The sequence below is a fragment of the Homo sapiens genome, chromosome 9 (genome assembly GCF_000001405.40).
Source record: "Homo sapiens chromosome 9, GRCh38.p14 Primary Assembly".
Taxonomy (NCBI): domain Eukaryota; kingdom Metazoa; phylum Chordata; class Mammalia; order Primates; family Hominidae; genus Homo; species Homo sapiens.
The window spans coordinates 98,084,309-98,097,156 of NC_000009.12; the positions used below are offsets into that span (position 1 = coordinate 98,084,309).

The 12,848-nt window shown below is 49.6% G+C and overlaps 1 protein-coding gene across 11 annotated transcripts in view, besides 4 other annotated features; it reads right to left on the minus strand.

The window, feature by feature from the left end:
• The window catches only part of TRIM14 (tripartite motif containing 14), an 83,426-nt gene that overhangs the window by 48,512 nt on the left and 22,066 nt on the right, over positions 1-12,848 (minus strand). For 6 of the 11 annotated variants that reach the window (XM_047424162.1, XM_047424161.1, XM_047424160.1 and 3 more), the window contains exons 4-6: positions 10,559-10,721; positions 7,601-7,693; positions 3,134-3,697 (exon numbers count right to left, since the gene is read on the minus strand). In XM_047424162.1, the coding sequence (XP_047280118.1) occupies positions 3,162-3,697; positions 7,601-7,693; positions 10,559-10,721 (792 nt within the window). In that variant the 3' untranslated portion in view covers positions 3,134-3,161. Of the gene's footprint in view, positions 1-44; positions 3,698-7,600; positions 7,694-10,558; positions 10,722-12,848 lie in introns of those variants that run through there. The other 5 variants (NM_014788.4, XM_047424164.1, XM_011519244.3 and 2 more) reach the window with 3 other exon arrangements.
• Positions 2,625-3,299: an enhancer, noted in NCBI's record as "H3K27ac-H3K4me1 hESC enhancer chr9:100849215-100849889 (GRCh37/hg19 assembly coordinates)". NCBI's record gives its function as "activates a minimal SCP1, AML or CMV promoter by ChIP-STARR-seq in naive and primed H9 embryonic stem cells {active_cell/tissue: H9 hESC(naive and primed)}" and the evidence as "EXISTENCE:reporter gene assay evidence [ECO:0000049][PMID:30033119]".
• Positions 3,300-3,973: an enhancer, noted in NCBI's record as "H3K27ac-H3K4me1 hESC enhancer chr9:100849890-100850563 (GRCh37/hg19 assembly coordinates)". NCBI's record gives its function as "activates a minimal SCP1, AML or CMV promoter by ChIP-STARR-seq in naive H9 embryonic stem cells {active_cell/tissue: H9 hESC(naive)}" and the evidence as "EXISTENCE:reporter gene assay evidence [ECO:0000049][PMID:30033119]".
• Positions 3,383-3,652: a silencer, noted in NCBI's record as "silent region_20114". NCBI's record gives its function as "represses an Ori minimal core promoter by ATAC-STARR-seq in GM12878 lymphoblastoid cells {active_cell/tissue: GM12878}" and the evidence as "EXISTENCE:reporter gene assay evidence [ECO:0000049][PMID:35858748]".
• Positions 6,344-6,903: an enhancer, noted in NCBI's record as "OCT4-NANOG hESC enhancer chr9:100852934-100853493 (GRCh37/hg19 assembly coordinates)". NCBI's record gives its function as "activates a minimal SCP1, AML or CMV promoter by ChIP-STARR-seq in naive H9 embryonic stem cells {active_cell/tissue: H9 hESC(naive)}" and the evidence as "EXISTENCE:reporter gene assay evidence [ECO:0000049][PMID:30033119]".

The following is a 12,848-nucleotide window of genomic DNA, read 5'->3' on the forward strand; positions in this document are numbered from 1 at the left end:
TGCTAGGGACTTGAAGCAACATGAACTCCCAGTGAAGACCATGGTTAAAAGGGACATTATTCACATTTTATTAAACCAAATATTAGAAAATTGCTGTCATTTAAAAATATCTGCAAGCAATTTGCCATATCAATAAAGAAATGTCTACAGATTCAAGTCTGAAAGAGAAGAAGGTAAGTGATCAGTAACCCTTACAGACATGGAAACCAAGGAAGCCTCATTCCTGTGCTGAGAATATTCTAGTAGCTCCTGCTGCTGCCACATGGCAGCTGGGAATACCAGTAGTCTCAGCACTCGGTCAGTACCGTGCAAGCTCCCTTGGGAATGCTGATAAATCCTGGCATGATACAGCAGTATATATGTTTTTTTTGTTTTTTTTGAGACAAGAGTCTTGCTCTGTCCCCAGGCTGGAGTGCAGTGGTGCAATCTCAGCTCACTGCAATCTCCGCCTCCTGGGTTCAAGCAACTCTCTTGCCTCAGCCTCCCTAGTAGCTGGGATTACAGGCATGCACCACCACGCCCAGCTAATTTTTGTATAGGACTATAGTTTTAAGGCAAGTTTATAACCTTTGGCTCATTTGAGCCTCACAGCACTTGGTAGGTAGTGCTATTATCCCCATTTTATAGATGGCACTGAGAAGTAAAAAGTGACTAGCCCTGGTCACACAATTGATATGGACTGAAACTGCCGCTTTCTGGCTATCACGGGCCTTGACACAGCTAGTTTGTGACCTTTACAGTCTAGCTCTGTCTCTGCTACATGAATCCCAAATTTTTGAATCAAGTTCCCCTCTGGGCCATAAGGCCTCATCTCAGACCCCCAAGGAAGGCAGTCCAAAGGTAGACTCAAGTCTCGCAGAGTAACCAGGCACTAGGAAAGCATCATGGGCAGTAGCTCCACGAGAGGGGCCAGAGCACCAGGCACTGGCCAGAGACCAGCTGCATTCACCCTGAGCAGTAGGGCCTGGTGGCCATGAGCACAGACCTGGAACTCACAGCCTGGGCCCAGACTCCAGCTCCACCACTAGCTGTGCGACCTTGGGCAAGTGACTCTGGGTCTCCATTTTGCCATGTGTAGAATTGGGAAAACTTTCTACCCTCTAGGGCTGATGAAAGGATCAGATGAGTTTAGTCGTAAAGCATTAAAACAGTGCATTATAAACTATTAAGAGCTGTTATTACTTGGCCCCTGCAGCTGTGGGTCTGGGAAGAGGTCTTGGTCATCAGGGATGGGCAGAAATGTTGGGGTCAAGTGTATTCATCTTCCCTCTGTCAGGAACACCCTCTGCCTGTCACAATTCAGTTTGGGCCATTCCTAATAGAATTAATTTCCCCTTTTTCTCAGGATTCCTGCAGCATAGTGCTTAAAACTCTGTCCAGCCAGAGTTTTAAAGTCTTTGGTTAGAAGTTAAGGTGTTTGCAAGGTTCTGTCTGCCTGGTATTCTGCTACATTGTCTCATATCAAAAGTGCCATTTTTAACTCAAAAACTATTGAAAATTGTCAGTTTTATATGGTTCAAACTAATGCACTGAAAGTCTATTTAAACCACGAGGATTCGGCGACCTTGGCCTCCCACCAAGCACCTATGAAGATGCTTTAACAGAATATAACTTCAAAACCGTCTAGGGAATTGACAAAACAGGACGCAGAACCTTCAGAACGGAGACACAAATCCCTGGAAAGAAGCCTCCCACTCCCTGCTAGCGAAGGTGGCCTCCTGTGAGGGCCTACTGTTTTCTACCTCTGTCACTTCATTCCAGACAGCTGGGCACTCTGGGTTTCCTTGGCAACATCTGGATCTAAGGGTGCTCTTACCCTTTTTGTCCCAAGACAGTTGGGAAACACCACCCCCTTTGGTTGCTTAGCAACTGTCACCTGCTGATTCCTTCCCAAAATCCCCTGAGAAATGAGTAAGCAGGTTGAAAGCTGGGCCTAAGGGCTGGGCCAGGGGACAGGTCAGATGCTTGCCTGGGGGTGGGTGAACGGGGCACACGTCTGGCCCCCCTATATCACCCCGGGGTAACTTTACGCAGCTCTGCTTTCTTTCAGGACCTCAGACTCCCCAGATGAGATCTGGCTGGGTGACCTGTGAGGCCCGCCTAACTCAGCTCTTCTGTTACTCAGTGATAGGCACCTGCTGGTTATTAATTCACTGCTTGGGAGGGAAGGGGCTTTCTGGGAACTTTTCAGGGTGGAGAGAGTATAGGACAAAGCTGCCCTTCCAAAGCCTCCAATTTAGTTGGAAAGACAGGTCCCAGATTTGTGGCTCTGATAGTGAGATTCTTGTTCCTTGGTTAGACTTCCTGGCGCAGGTAAGCCTGCGGAAGACTGAGACAGGTGAAAAGACTTTTCTGCATGAATGTGCTGGCAGCAGAGAGGTGTGGAGGTGGAACTATGCGACACATTTCTGACTGGAGAGTCTCTAAGAAGAGTGGTAGGAGCTAGGTGAGGATAAGTAATTTTGGGCAGACTAGACAAGCCTTGAATGCTAAGGTGAGGCGCTTGTATTTTTTTTTGTTATTTCATGGAAACTCCTGGAAGCCTTTTCATAGCTGAGGGGTTAAGTGAAGTTTTAGGAAGATCACTCTAGTTTTAGGGTGGAAGATGAGGACTGGGAGAGGGTTCAGACCAGGAACTGCTAAGAAGCTCTTGCAGCTTCTGGAGGGAGCTGTGATGTGGACACGCTGAAATCGGTGGGGAGGAAGCGGAAGATTCAAGGGACCTCAAGAGACAGAAGAGTCAGGACTGGATGACTCCCATTCATTCACAAACGTTTACTGTGTGCCTACTATGTGTCAGGTTCCTGTGCTGTACGAGGGAGAAGGTTCCCAGGCTGCGGATGATGTATTCAGGATGCTGAGGGCTTACCTGTGGGGGTATCACTTTGAAGGAACTGGATTAAAGTAGTGTAAGTGATGGTGGGGTGAGGGTGCGGAGGTCTGATGAGAGGGCAGCAGCAGACTTGTTTAGGGCCTGTTTGAAACTAGCCTAGGAGAGGAAACCTTCAAAGCACTGTAGGCGTGATTGGTCGGGGAAAGCTGGGGCAGGGAGAGGGCCCTAAGAAGCAGGCAGTAAGGGGACCAGCCACGCTGATCTAGGTAGATTAGGCGAGACTGGGCAGCTGCGGCGTACCTGGAGGCTGTCACGCCGGTCCTGGCCCCTAGGGCAGCCGGGGGATGCTGATGGCCCCCTCCCAGAGCCGCAGGGCCGGGTAGAGCGGCTCCTGGAACGTGGCGCGGAAGGTATGCAGGTGGCTCATGCCGCCCGTCACGTCGTAGAAGGCGAGGACGCCGGCCTCGTAGTCCAGGAAGACGCCGAGCCGGTCGAGGTCGTCGCGGGGCCGCAGGCGGCTGCGCTGGCCGTCGTGGAAGGCCCAGTACTCAAGGTCGTAGCGCTTGAGGCACCAGGACTGGCGGTTGCAGCCCAGGCGGGCGGCGGCCGAGGCCCCGCGGCGCCGAAGGGAGGCGTAGGCCGCGCCCACCCACCAGCCGGCGCCCGCCTCCTGCACGTCAACCTCCCAGTAGTGGCGGCCGGTGGCGAAGCAGTCACGAGCCAGCACTTGCCAGAGCGCGTCGAACCGCAGCACGGGCACGGGCCCCAGGCTGCCCAGCAGGCCGCAGCGCACCGTCAGGCGATCGGCGGACAGGCGCAGGCGCGCGTGCATCGTGTCAGGATCCAGCGTGGGCGTGCGCGCGTCTGCAGGGGGCGAGACAAGGGACGCACCTGGTGGGCGGGGCCAGCGCGGCGCCCCGCCCCCGGGAACCCACCAACGCACGTGCAAATCACAAAATGCGAAGCGCGGAAATGGCCCAAGGAAGGGGTGACAGACCCCTTTAAACCGCGACTGCCCCTGGGGCGGGGTCTTGGGGAAAGGGGAAGAAGAGATCACTCTGCTGCACATCCCTTATACTGTCTGTATTTTGTGCCGTGAAATTTGTTGCCAATTAATACAAATTTAATTAAAACTAATCCTATCACTGTTAACATTAGGGTGTGTGTACTTCCTATCTTTCCCCTCCCCTTGCTGCTTTATAGCTTTTCTTTTTCTTTTTTTTCTTTTTTTGAAACGGAGTCTCGCTCTGTTGCCCAGGCTGGAGTGCAGTGGCGCGATCTCCGCTCACTGCAAGCTCCGCCTCCCAGGTTCAGGCCATTCTCCTGCCTCAGCCTCCCGAGTAGCTGGGACTACAGGCGCCCACCACCACGCCCGGCTAATTTTTATAGCTTTTCTTAATATTGGTGTCACACCATACATGACGTTAGGTAATCTGCTTTTTAAAATTGATTGATCTACTTGTGAGGCATTTTGACACATCATAATATCCTTTCACAAGAGCATTTTAGTGGAGATTCTAAAATTTTGATGTTTGGACGCATAACTTAGTCCTCCGTTTAAAAAGCTTTTGAAACCACTAATACAATTACATTTTTACGTATCTGATTGCTTCTGTAGAATATACTCCTAAAACAGGAATTGCTGGGTCAATGGGTATTTTTTTAAGGTCTTTGATACATATTGCAAAACTATCCTCCCCAAAGTTTGTAGTGATTTAAACTCTCATTAACATTTCTCTTTGCATTACACCATGTATGTACACATGAAGTTTTTTTTGTTGTTGTTGTTGTTGTTTTTTAAGTCTGGATCACAGGGTATGTGGATATTCAGCTTTCATAAACAAGGCCAAACAGTTTTCCATGGACATTTGGATTGTTTCCGTGTTGCCTATTGTGACTAATGTTGCTATAACTGTAAACGTGTAACAGAGACTGAGTTTTCTAAGAAAAAGAGCATTTTTCTAAGAGAAAGAGAATGAATTATTTTTAAGATTTTCCCCCTTTTTCTCCTGTCTCCCACTTCCTACTTAGCTCTTTATTTTTATTTTTTTTAAGATGGAGTTTCACTCTTGTTGCCCGGGCTGGAGTGCAGTGGTGTGATCTCGACTCACTGCAACCTCGGCCTCCTGGGTTCAAGCGATTCTCCTACCTAAGGCTCCCTAGTAACTAGGATTACAGGCACCTGCCACCACGCCTGGCTAATTTTTGTATTTTCAGTAGAGACAGGGTTTCATCATGTTGGCCAGGCTGGTCTTGATCTCCTGACCTCCGGTGATCCGCCTGCCTCAGCCTCCCAAAGTGCTGTGGTTACAGGTGTGAGCCACTGTGCCCTGCCTCTACTTAGCTCTTTAGAAATGTAATTATAACCATTACCTTCCCTTCACCAGATAGTCCCTACAGGGCAAACTTATCTACCTACTTAGAGGGTCTAGAACCAGAACTTTCTCCCACCAGGAGATTGCCTTAAGAGACAACAGTCAATTTACAACATAAAGTATGCCTTCAACAGAACTCTTCCACCCGGACAGCATCTCAAGACAACGGCCACATTACAACCTAGTTCTGCCCTCAATGGCACCAGCTCAACCACTTGGTAGAAAACGCATCAAAATGAGTCATATAGACCCCCATCTGCTTGCTCCTTCCCTGCATGCCATTCATACAAAGTCCCCATTTAAAAGCCTCTGCTTTCTGCCCCAAAAGTGAGGCGGTACCGTTAAGGGCAGGAGGAGCCTGTACCTCTTCCCCTAAGCTAATCTTTAGAATAAAACCACTTTCTTTATACCAGACCTCGCTCTTGTTAATTGAACTCTGCAAAGCGTTGAGCAACTGAACCTGTGTTTCGGTCACATAACATTCTTGTGCAGGTCTTTTGATTCACATATGTATGCATTTCTGTTGGATATATGTCTAAGGTGGGAGAAAATGCTGCTCATTATAACCACTTCTATTCAACAATGTTCTAAATGTAGTAGACAGTAACTCAAGGCACGAAAAAGAAGTGAAAGGAAAGAATAAAGATCGGGGAAATGAAAGATTATTATTCATAGGTGACATGCTTATTTACACAAAAACCCAAATAATCTGTAGATAGCTTAGAAGTACTAAGTGAATTTATAACAGCCACTCAGTATGTCAATATACAAAAATGGATAAATCTCATATTGAGTGAAAGAAGCAAAACACAGAAGGGTATAGTGTGAATGATCTACTGAAAGTTCAAAAACAGGTAAAACTAACCTATAGTCCTAGAAGTCTGGAGAGTGGATCCCCTTTGGGGATAGTAAACAAGAAGGCACATGAGGAAGACTTCTGGGGAGTGGAAATTTCCATTTCTTGATCTGAAGGTGGTTACAAAATATGTTTCCTTTTTAAAAAATCATTGAGCTGATTGATCTGCACATTTTTGATTTGTGCACTTTTTTTTTTTTTTTTTTTTTTAAGACGGAGTCTTGCTCTGTTGCCAGGCTGGAGTGCAGTAGTGCGACCTCGGCTCACTGCAACCTTCGCCTCCCGGGTTCAAGCGATTCTCCTGCCTCAGTCTCCTGAGCAGCTAGGACTACTGGTGCATGCCACCATGCCCAGCTAATTTTTGTATTTTTAGTGGAGACAGGGTTTCACCATGTTGTGCAGGCTGGTCTCGAACTGCTGACCTCAAGTGATCCACCTGCCTTGGGTTCCCAAAGTGCTGGGATTACAGGTGTGAGCCACCGTGCTCGGCCTTTAAATCAGTATGTTAGCCTTTGTATGGAAAATGTAAATTTATTCAGTGCCTCTGTTTTGATATTCACTGTCCCCCTCCCAACACCAGGGGCAGTGATCACCATTCTTTGGTTTCCCTCTGTCTCCTGATGGTTACTTTGCACTTGAATAAACTCTGCTAACTGGATACTGAGCCTTCTTTAGATTGAGTCTTTTTTAGGTTGACACCCAGTAATTCCACTTGAGAAATTACTCCTAAAAAATAATCTGAAAATGAGGTATGGTGTGTTCATTCTCTCATTCATTAATTCAATTCAACAAATGTGTACAAGAATGGATGTTTATTACAGCATTGTTTTAGAAATGAAAATGTAAACATCCAACATTATGAGATTGGCTAAATATGACACATCCATTCAATGCAATGCCATGCAACCTCTAAAAACAATGATAAAAATAAAAAATTAGCTGGGCATGGTGGCACACACTGATAGTCCCAGCTATGAGGGAGGCTGAGGTGGGAAAATCATTTGTGCCCAAGAGGTCGAGGCTGCAGTGAGCCATGACTGCACCACTGCACTCCAGAGCAAGACTCGGTCACACACACACACACACATAGTGATAATATTAGCTGGGCACAGTGGCTCACTGTATAAATCCCAAATATATATATGTTCATAATATATCAGTAAATGAAAACAGATGACAAAACAGTATGTATAGTATGACACCACGTTTGTAACATAAAAAGATATATTAAATATATCATTATATGCATATTAGATGTGCTAAAAAAGCTAAAAGGACAAATAATAATAGCAGTTATTCACAGAAGAGGGATTATGAGTAACTTTTTTCTTTCATTTTCTAATTTTTCTACAATGAACATGTATTGTTTTATTGCCTTTAATAATAAACATTTTTTAAAAAACAAGTTCTTAAAATAAATAAATAAATAAATTCTAATGAGAAAAAAAGAGGGACCTCCATTTCCATGATCCTCCTCCACCCAACATCCCACCATCTCCACCGTCTCCACCCTATCCCCACTCCCGGGGGTCTTACATTTCAGCAATAGCGATCGCTCTGGTGAGGGGCTGGTTTTCAACAAGGTACCTGGCTTGGTGCTGGAAGGGTCTGAGAGCTGGCAGTTTATGCCTGTAAGGAATTGTTGAGAAATGAGCGCCCGGAGCTTATGCAAGCAGACAAATAAGACGTGCTAAAAATACCACACAACTGGAGATTCGCATAATCTCGCCCAAGAGCCAGGCAGATTTAAGGGATTTATGTGAATTCACAGGGACAGGAAAACCCCAGGATGACAAGGCTGGTGTGGGAGAGTCCTAAATAGGAGGAGGAGCTGAGGCGCGAACAACTACTGGATCCAACACTCAAGGATGGGCGGCGACTCAGGGAAGATGTGCAGATTCCAGGGTAAAGATGGAAAACAAGAAAGTAGAGCTGAGTCCTCAGGAAGGTCTGAGTGCTCAGAAAGAAAGAAGGAGGGGAGTCTATCCCAACAAGCGGGCACAGCAGGGGCACCCAGGGCCCTTGGCACTTGCTGTGCCCTCTGCCTGGACAGCCCCCCCACACCCTTCCCCCCTTGCCCAGGTTGCCTCCTTCCCAGCTATTGGGGCCGCAGCTCACTCAGCACCTCCGCAGAAGTGCCTTCCGCCCCCATCACTCCCAGCACTCATCACAGGGGCCTGTAGAGATCTGTGGGAAGCCCACCTGCAGGCTGTTTAAATCAAGTTTTGCCTAAAGCTCCTCCTTACATCTTTTAAGTTCGGCCTACATATTTTTCTGTACGTCATGAACAATAACAAGTGGAGGTGTAAACAGACCGTAGCCTGCACTTGTGCCAATCACCAAGTTTTGGCCAATCAGATGTAGCCAACTGTTCAAATTGTGTTCAAATTAGGCGAACGCCGAGCTGTAACCAATCCAGCTGCTTCTGTACCTCACTTCTGTTTTCTGTACGTCGCTTTCCTTTTTCTGTCCCTAAATCTTCTTCCACCACGTGGCTGTGCTGGAGTCTCTGAGTGCACTGTGGCTCAGAGGGCTGCCGGATTCATGAATCGTTCATTGCTCATTTAAACTCCTTTAAATTTAATTTGGCTGAAGTTGTTCTTTCATCAAGGCAAAAGCCTCTCCCCTCTCCCCAGAACTCTAGAATCATAGGTCCTACTGCCGAGGCGATACCACCACATGGGAAGTCCAACTTCTCAAATCTAACAGGTTCACTTCATTCCCTCCAGTCCTAAATACTCTTTCTCACTTCAGAAAATGACAGTTTCCTTCTGCGAGTTGCCCACGTCCAAATCCTTGGATTCTGATCTCTTTCCTCTCTCCCCTGTGACCCTACGTCCACTCCTGTTGTCCCCATTGCTGCTCCTTCGATATGGCCAGCTCACTCCCATCGCGCCTCAGGACCTCCACCCTTGCTTTTCCCTCTGTCTAGAATACCTCCCCCAGACGTAACAGCAGCAGCAATCATAATCGCCAAGACATACGTGGTGCTTAATATGCCTGAGCGCTATATGTGTAAGAGCTCATTTAATCCTCACAGCAGCCCAGGAGAGGCGACTGCATTATGGTCTCCACTTTACAGATGCAGAAACAGAGGCATGGAAAAGGGAGGAGCCGTGTCTAAGATGGCAGGGTTCAGCAGGGTTCCAAGTGGTAGACCTCGGATAGGAACCCAGGAGGCCTAGCTCCAGAGGCCGTGCCTATGACCACTGTGCTCTCTGGCCCTTCAGACCCACAGAACCTGCAGAATGAATGCTTCCTTTGGGCCACCTTGAGTGTCCCCTTCTCAGAGGCCATCCCAACTGCTTATATAAAACAGCTCCTCCTCCTTGTCACTTTCCTGTCTTCCATCCTGCCCTGGTTTATTATTATTATTATTATTGTTATTTTTGAGACAGAGTCTTGCTCTGTCACCCAGGTTGAAGTACAGTGGCATGATCTCAACTCACTGCAACCTCCACCTCCCGGGTTCAAGCAATTCTCCTGCCTCAGCTTCCCGAGTAGCTGGGATTACAGGTGCATGCCACCATGCCTGGCTAATTTTTGTATTTGTAGTAGAGATGGGGTTTCACCATGTTGGCCAGGCTGGTCTCAAACTCCTGACCTCATCATCCACCCACCTCGGCCTCCCAAAGTGCTGGGATTACAGGCGTGAGCCACCACGCCCGGCCTTTATTATTCTTTATAGCAGTATAGCAGTTCCTGTCACCTGACATGTTTGTGTACGGTCTGTCTTCCCCTACGAAGACTGTGAGCACCAAAAGAGGAGAAGGAGCTTTGTTTTGTGCCCTGCTATGCCTGGCATATAAGAGGGGCTTGATAAATGTTCTGAATGAATCATGATAGCAGAGGTGAATGAATGAATGAATGCATAAATGAATCAAAGAACAGATATTTTTGAGTACATGTTTTGTGCCAGGCCCTGGGGGGACCTCAGAGTTGGACCTAAAGCTGGTTTCTGCCCTTCACGTGCTTACAAGGGGCAAGGAGGGGGGTCCATGTATCCACTTCATGAGCACCCTCTAGCAGGACATGGGCAGGCCCTGGAGCGGGAAGGGAGAGGGGAGATGGCTAAAGGAGAGAGTGAGTCAGGGCTGGGCTGGCAGGAAAGGGCTTCCCAGGTGGGCGCAGCTGTGCCAGTCTGCCTCGAAGGGGTGCCAGGCCTTGGCCCCAGCCAGAGGAAGAGAAGGAGGAAGAGTTGGTCATTCCAGCTGGGAGCCCAGAGCAAGGCTGAGATGTGGCAGGCTCCCAGGAGCAATCTGAGGGGCAGAAGCAGGGCAGTGTGACTGGAGAAGGGCAGGTCTCAGTCTCAGGAAGGGTTGGAGGTGAAGTGGTGAGGGTGGGTTGGGCACCAGGCCCAGGAGCCCCTGACCGCCCAGCCAAGGGCCTCAGTGTGGGAGAGACAGGATGTAGGGAGATGATCTTTGCATTCGTCTCTGGGCTAAAGGACACTAGGGGAGTTAAGGACACAAAGTTGGTCACTCGGCGACTTACTTTCCTTAAGGCGAATGTCCAATGGCGTCTGTAATGTACTCTCCACGGCTTCCACGAGGCCCTTAAAGAAGCTCTTGACGGGCTCAAAGGAGAGGGGCACGGGATGGCACAGCTCCCCGAGGCTCATCTGCTGCTGCATCTCCTGCTCGGTGGCCGTGTATGCCTGTGTGGGCACACGGGGGTGAGGGTGGCTCTGGGAGATGCAGGCAGCATCCCAGCCTCCTGTGCTGCACCCAGGAACAAACCCACACCAGCATGCCCAGGCTCCACGTTGGCCTGGCACCTATGGTCAGCCCAGGCCATGCCTGCAGGAGCAGAGCCCTGGAGAGACCATACGGCATCCCTGAGGTGGGAGCCATGCGGAGGTGCGGTTTTTCAGTGCTGGCACTGGGGATTCCTCCCTCTCCATCCTTCCTCCTTTCCTTCCTTCCTTACGTGTTCATTGAAACCTACTCTGTGCCAGCTATGCATGCAGAAGGCAGGGTCAGGCTGACACGGGGCCCTTCCCAGAGAGGCTTCAGCCTCACACACACTGCGCCACGGGTCTGCCTTGGGTACAAAAAGGGTGAGAGGTCAGTCTCCCTGGGGAAGGAGCACCTGGAGCTTATTCAAAGGTGGAGCAGGAAACCATGTTCTAAGAAGGACGCCAAAGGCCAGCAAGGTTCAGCTGCAGTGCTGACTGAGGGGGTGTGGCCACCGCAGGGGACATGTGTCCTGTTTTGCACCTGGACAGCCCCTCTTCAATACTTTCCTGTGGTATGTGGCTTCACTAAGGAGAAGCTAGAAAACCCCCTCTCCCAGCTCCCTTTGCACCTGTGCTGCAGGAGTGTGACCAGACGCCTCCAAGCCAAAGCGTGGATTTGGAAATGACGGTGAAGGTAGTGATGGTGGCATGTGGCACTGAGGGACAGCAGTGGTGGGGGCTCTGGTCAGTGGTGTGAGTGGTGATGTCTTGCCCAGCAGGGGTGCCGTGGGGCCTATACTGGCACCAACCCCTGCTGGAGTCTGGACTTCATTCCTGCTGCCCATCTTCCATCCCGACTCTCTGGCCCTCCTGGAGATCCTATGGGCTATCTCATACTCTTCCATAAACTCCTTTCTTGCTTAAAACAGTTCCAGTGGATTCTCATGTTTGCAGGTAAGAACCATGGCTGCATTTTCTGAAGCTCTGTCCTGGCCAGGAGTTGGAAGGAAGATGACTGCCTCAGGTGATCAGGCTTGGCTGGCAGTGGCAGTGCTGCCCACCCGAGAAGGGGTGGACAGATGAGGGCCTCAGGAGGGAGGGAGGGTGGCCTAGCACTTGGCTGTTGGGCAGGGGCAGATCCCACCTGGCAGCATGCTGTACATTGGGAGGGGGCTGTGAGATGGCCTGCAAGCCCCATTCAGCCTAGGAGGCCAGGAGTCTATAGAGTCCAACCTCATTTTGGTGGGGAACCAGGCCTAAGGTCACACCCAGAGCGCTGGAATGGAGCTGGCCAGGGGAGACCAAGCACTAGCAGGAAGTCCAGGGTGGGCAGGGAGCAGCTCCGGGGAGGCGAGAGGGGGCTCAGAGGGCAGATGAGTAGGGTAGGATGAGGGGTCGATAGAGGACACATGGCACCACCTGGTAACCCCAAACTCCAGCAGCTAGCACCAGACCTGACACACAGGTTCTCAAAACATATGTATGATGGAATAAATCAATGCATGAAACCGAGCACAGCCACTTTTTTGCCTTTGCAGACTCAGAGAACAGAAATCCCAGCCCTTCATCTCTCAGGCCAGAAACCCAGGCATCATCTGGGGATTCCTCCTACCCATTCTCCAATTCCAATCTCCATTCCTGTGGCATCTCTTGACCTGCCTGTTTCTCCCCATCCCCACTGCCCCTGTCTTGGTCCAGGCCACCATCATCTCTCTCCTGGACATTGTGGCCTCCTCCCAAGTTCTCTTCCAGCCTCCCATCCTGGCCTCCTCTGTCCATCTTCCACTCTATCTCTAAAGTGACTTTTCTAAAGCACTAATCTGACCATGTGAATGCTTTCATCCCTCAGTTCAAAACACTCCCCTGGGCTGGGTGCAGTGGCTCACACCTCCCAGCTCTTTGGGAGGCCAAGGTGGGCAGATCACTTGAGGTCAAGAGTTTGAGACCAGCCTGGCCAACATGGTGAAACACTGTCTCTACTAAAAATACAAAAATTAGCTGGGCATGGTGGCACGTGCTTGTCGTCTCAGCTCTTCCAGGGGCTGAGGCAGGAGAATCCCTTGAACCTGGGAGGCAAAGGTTGCAGTAAGCTGAGATTGAGCCACT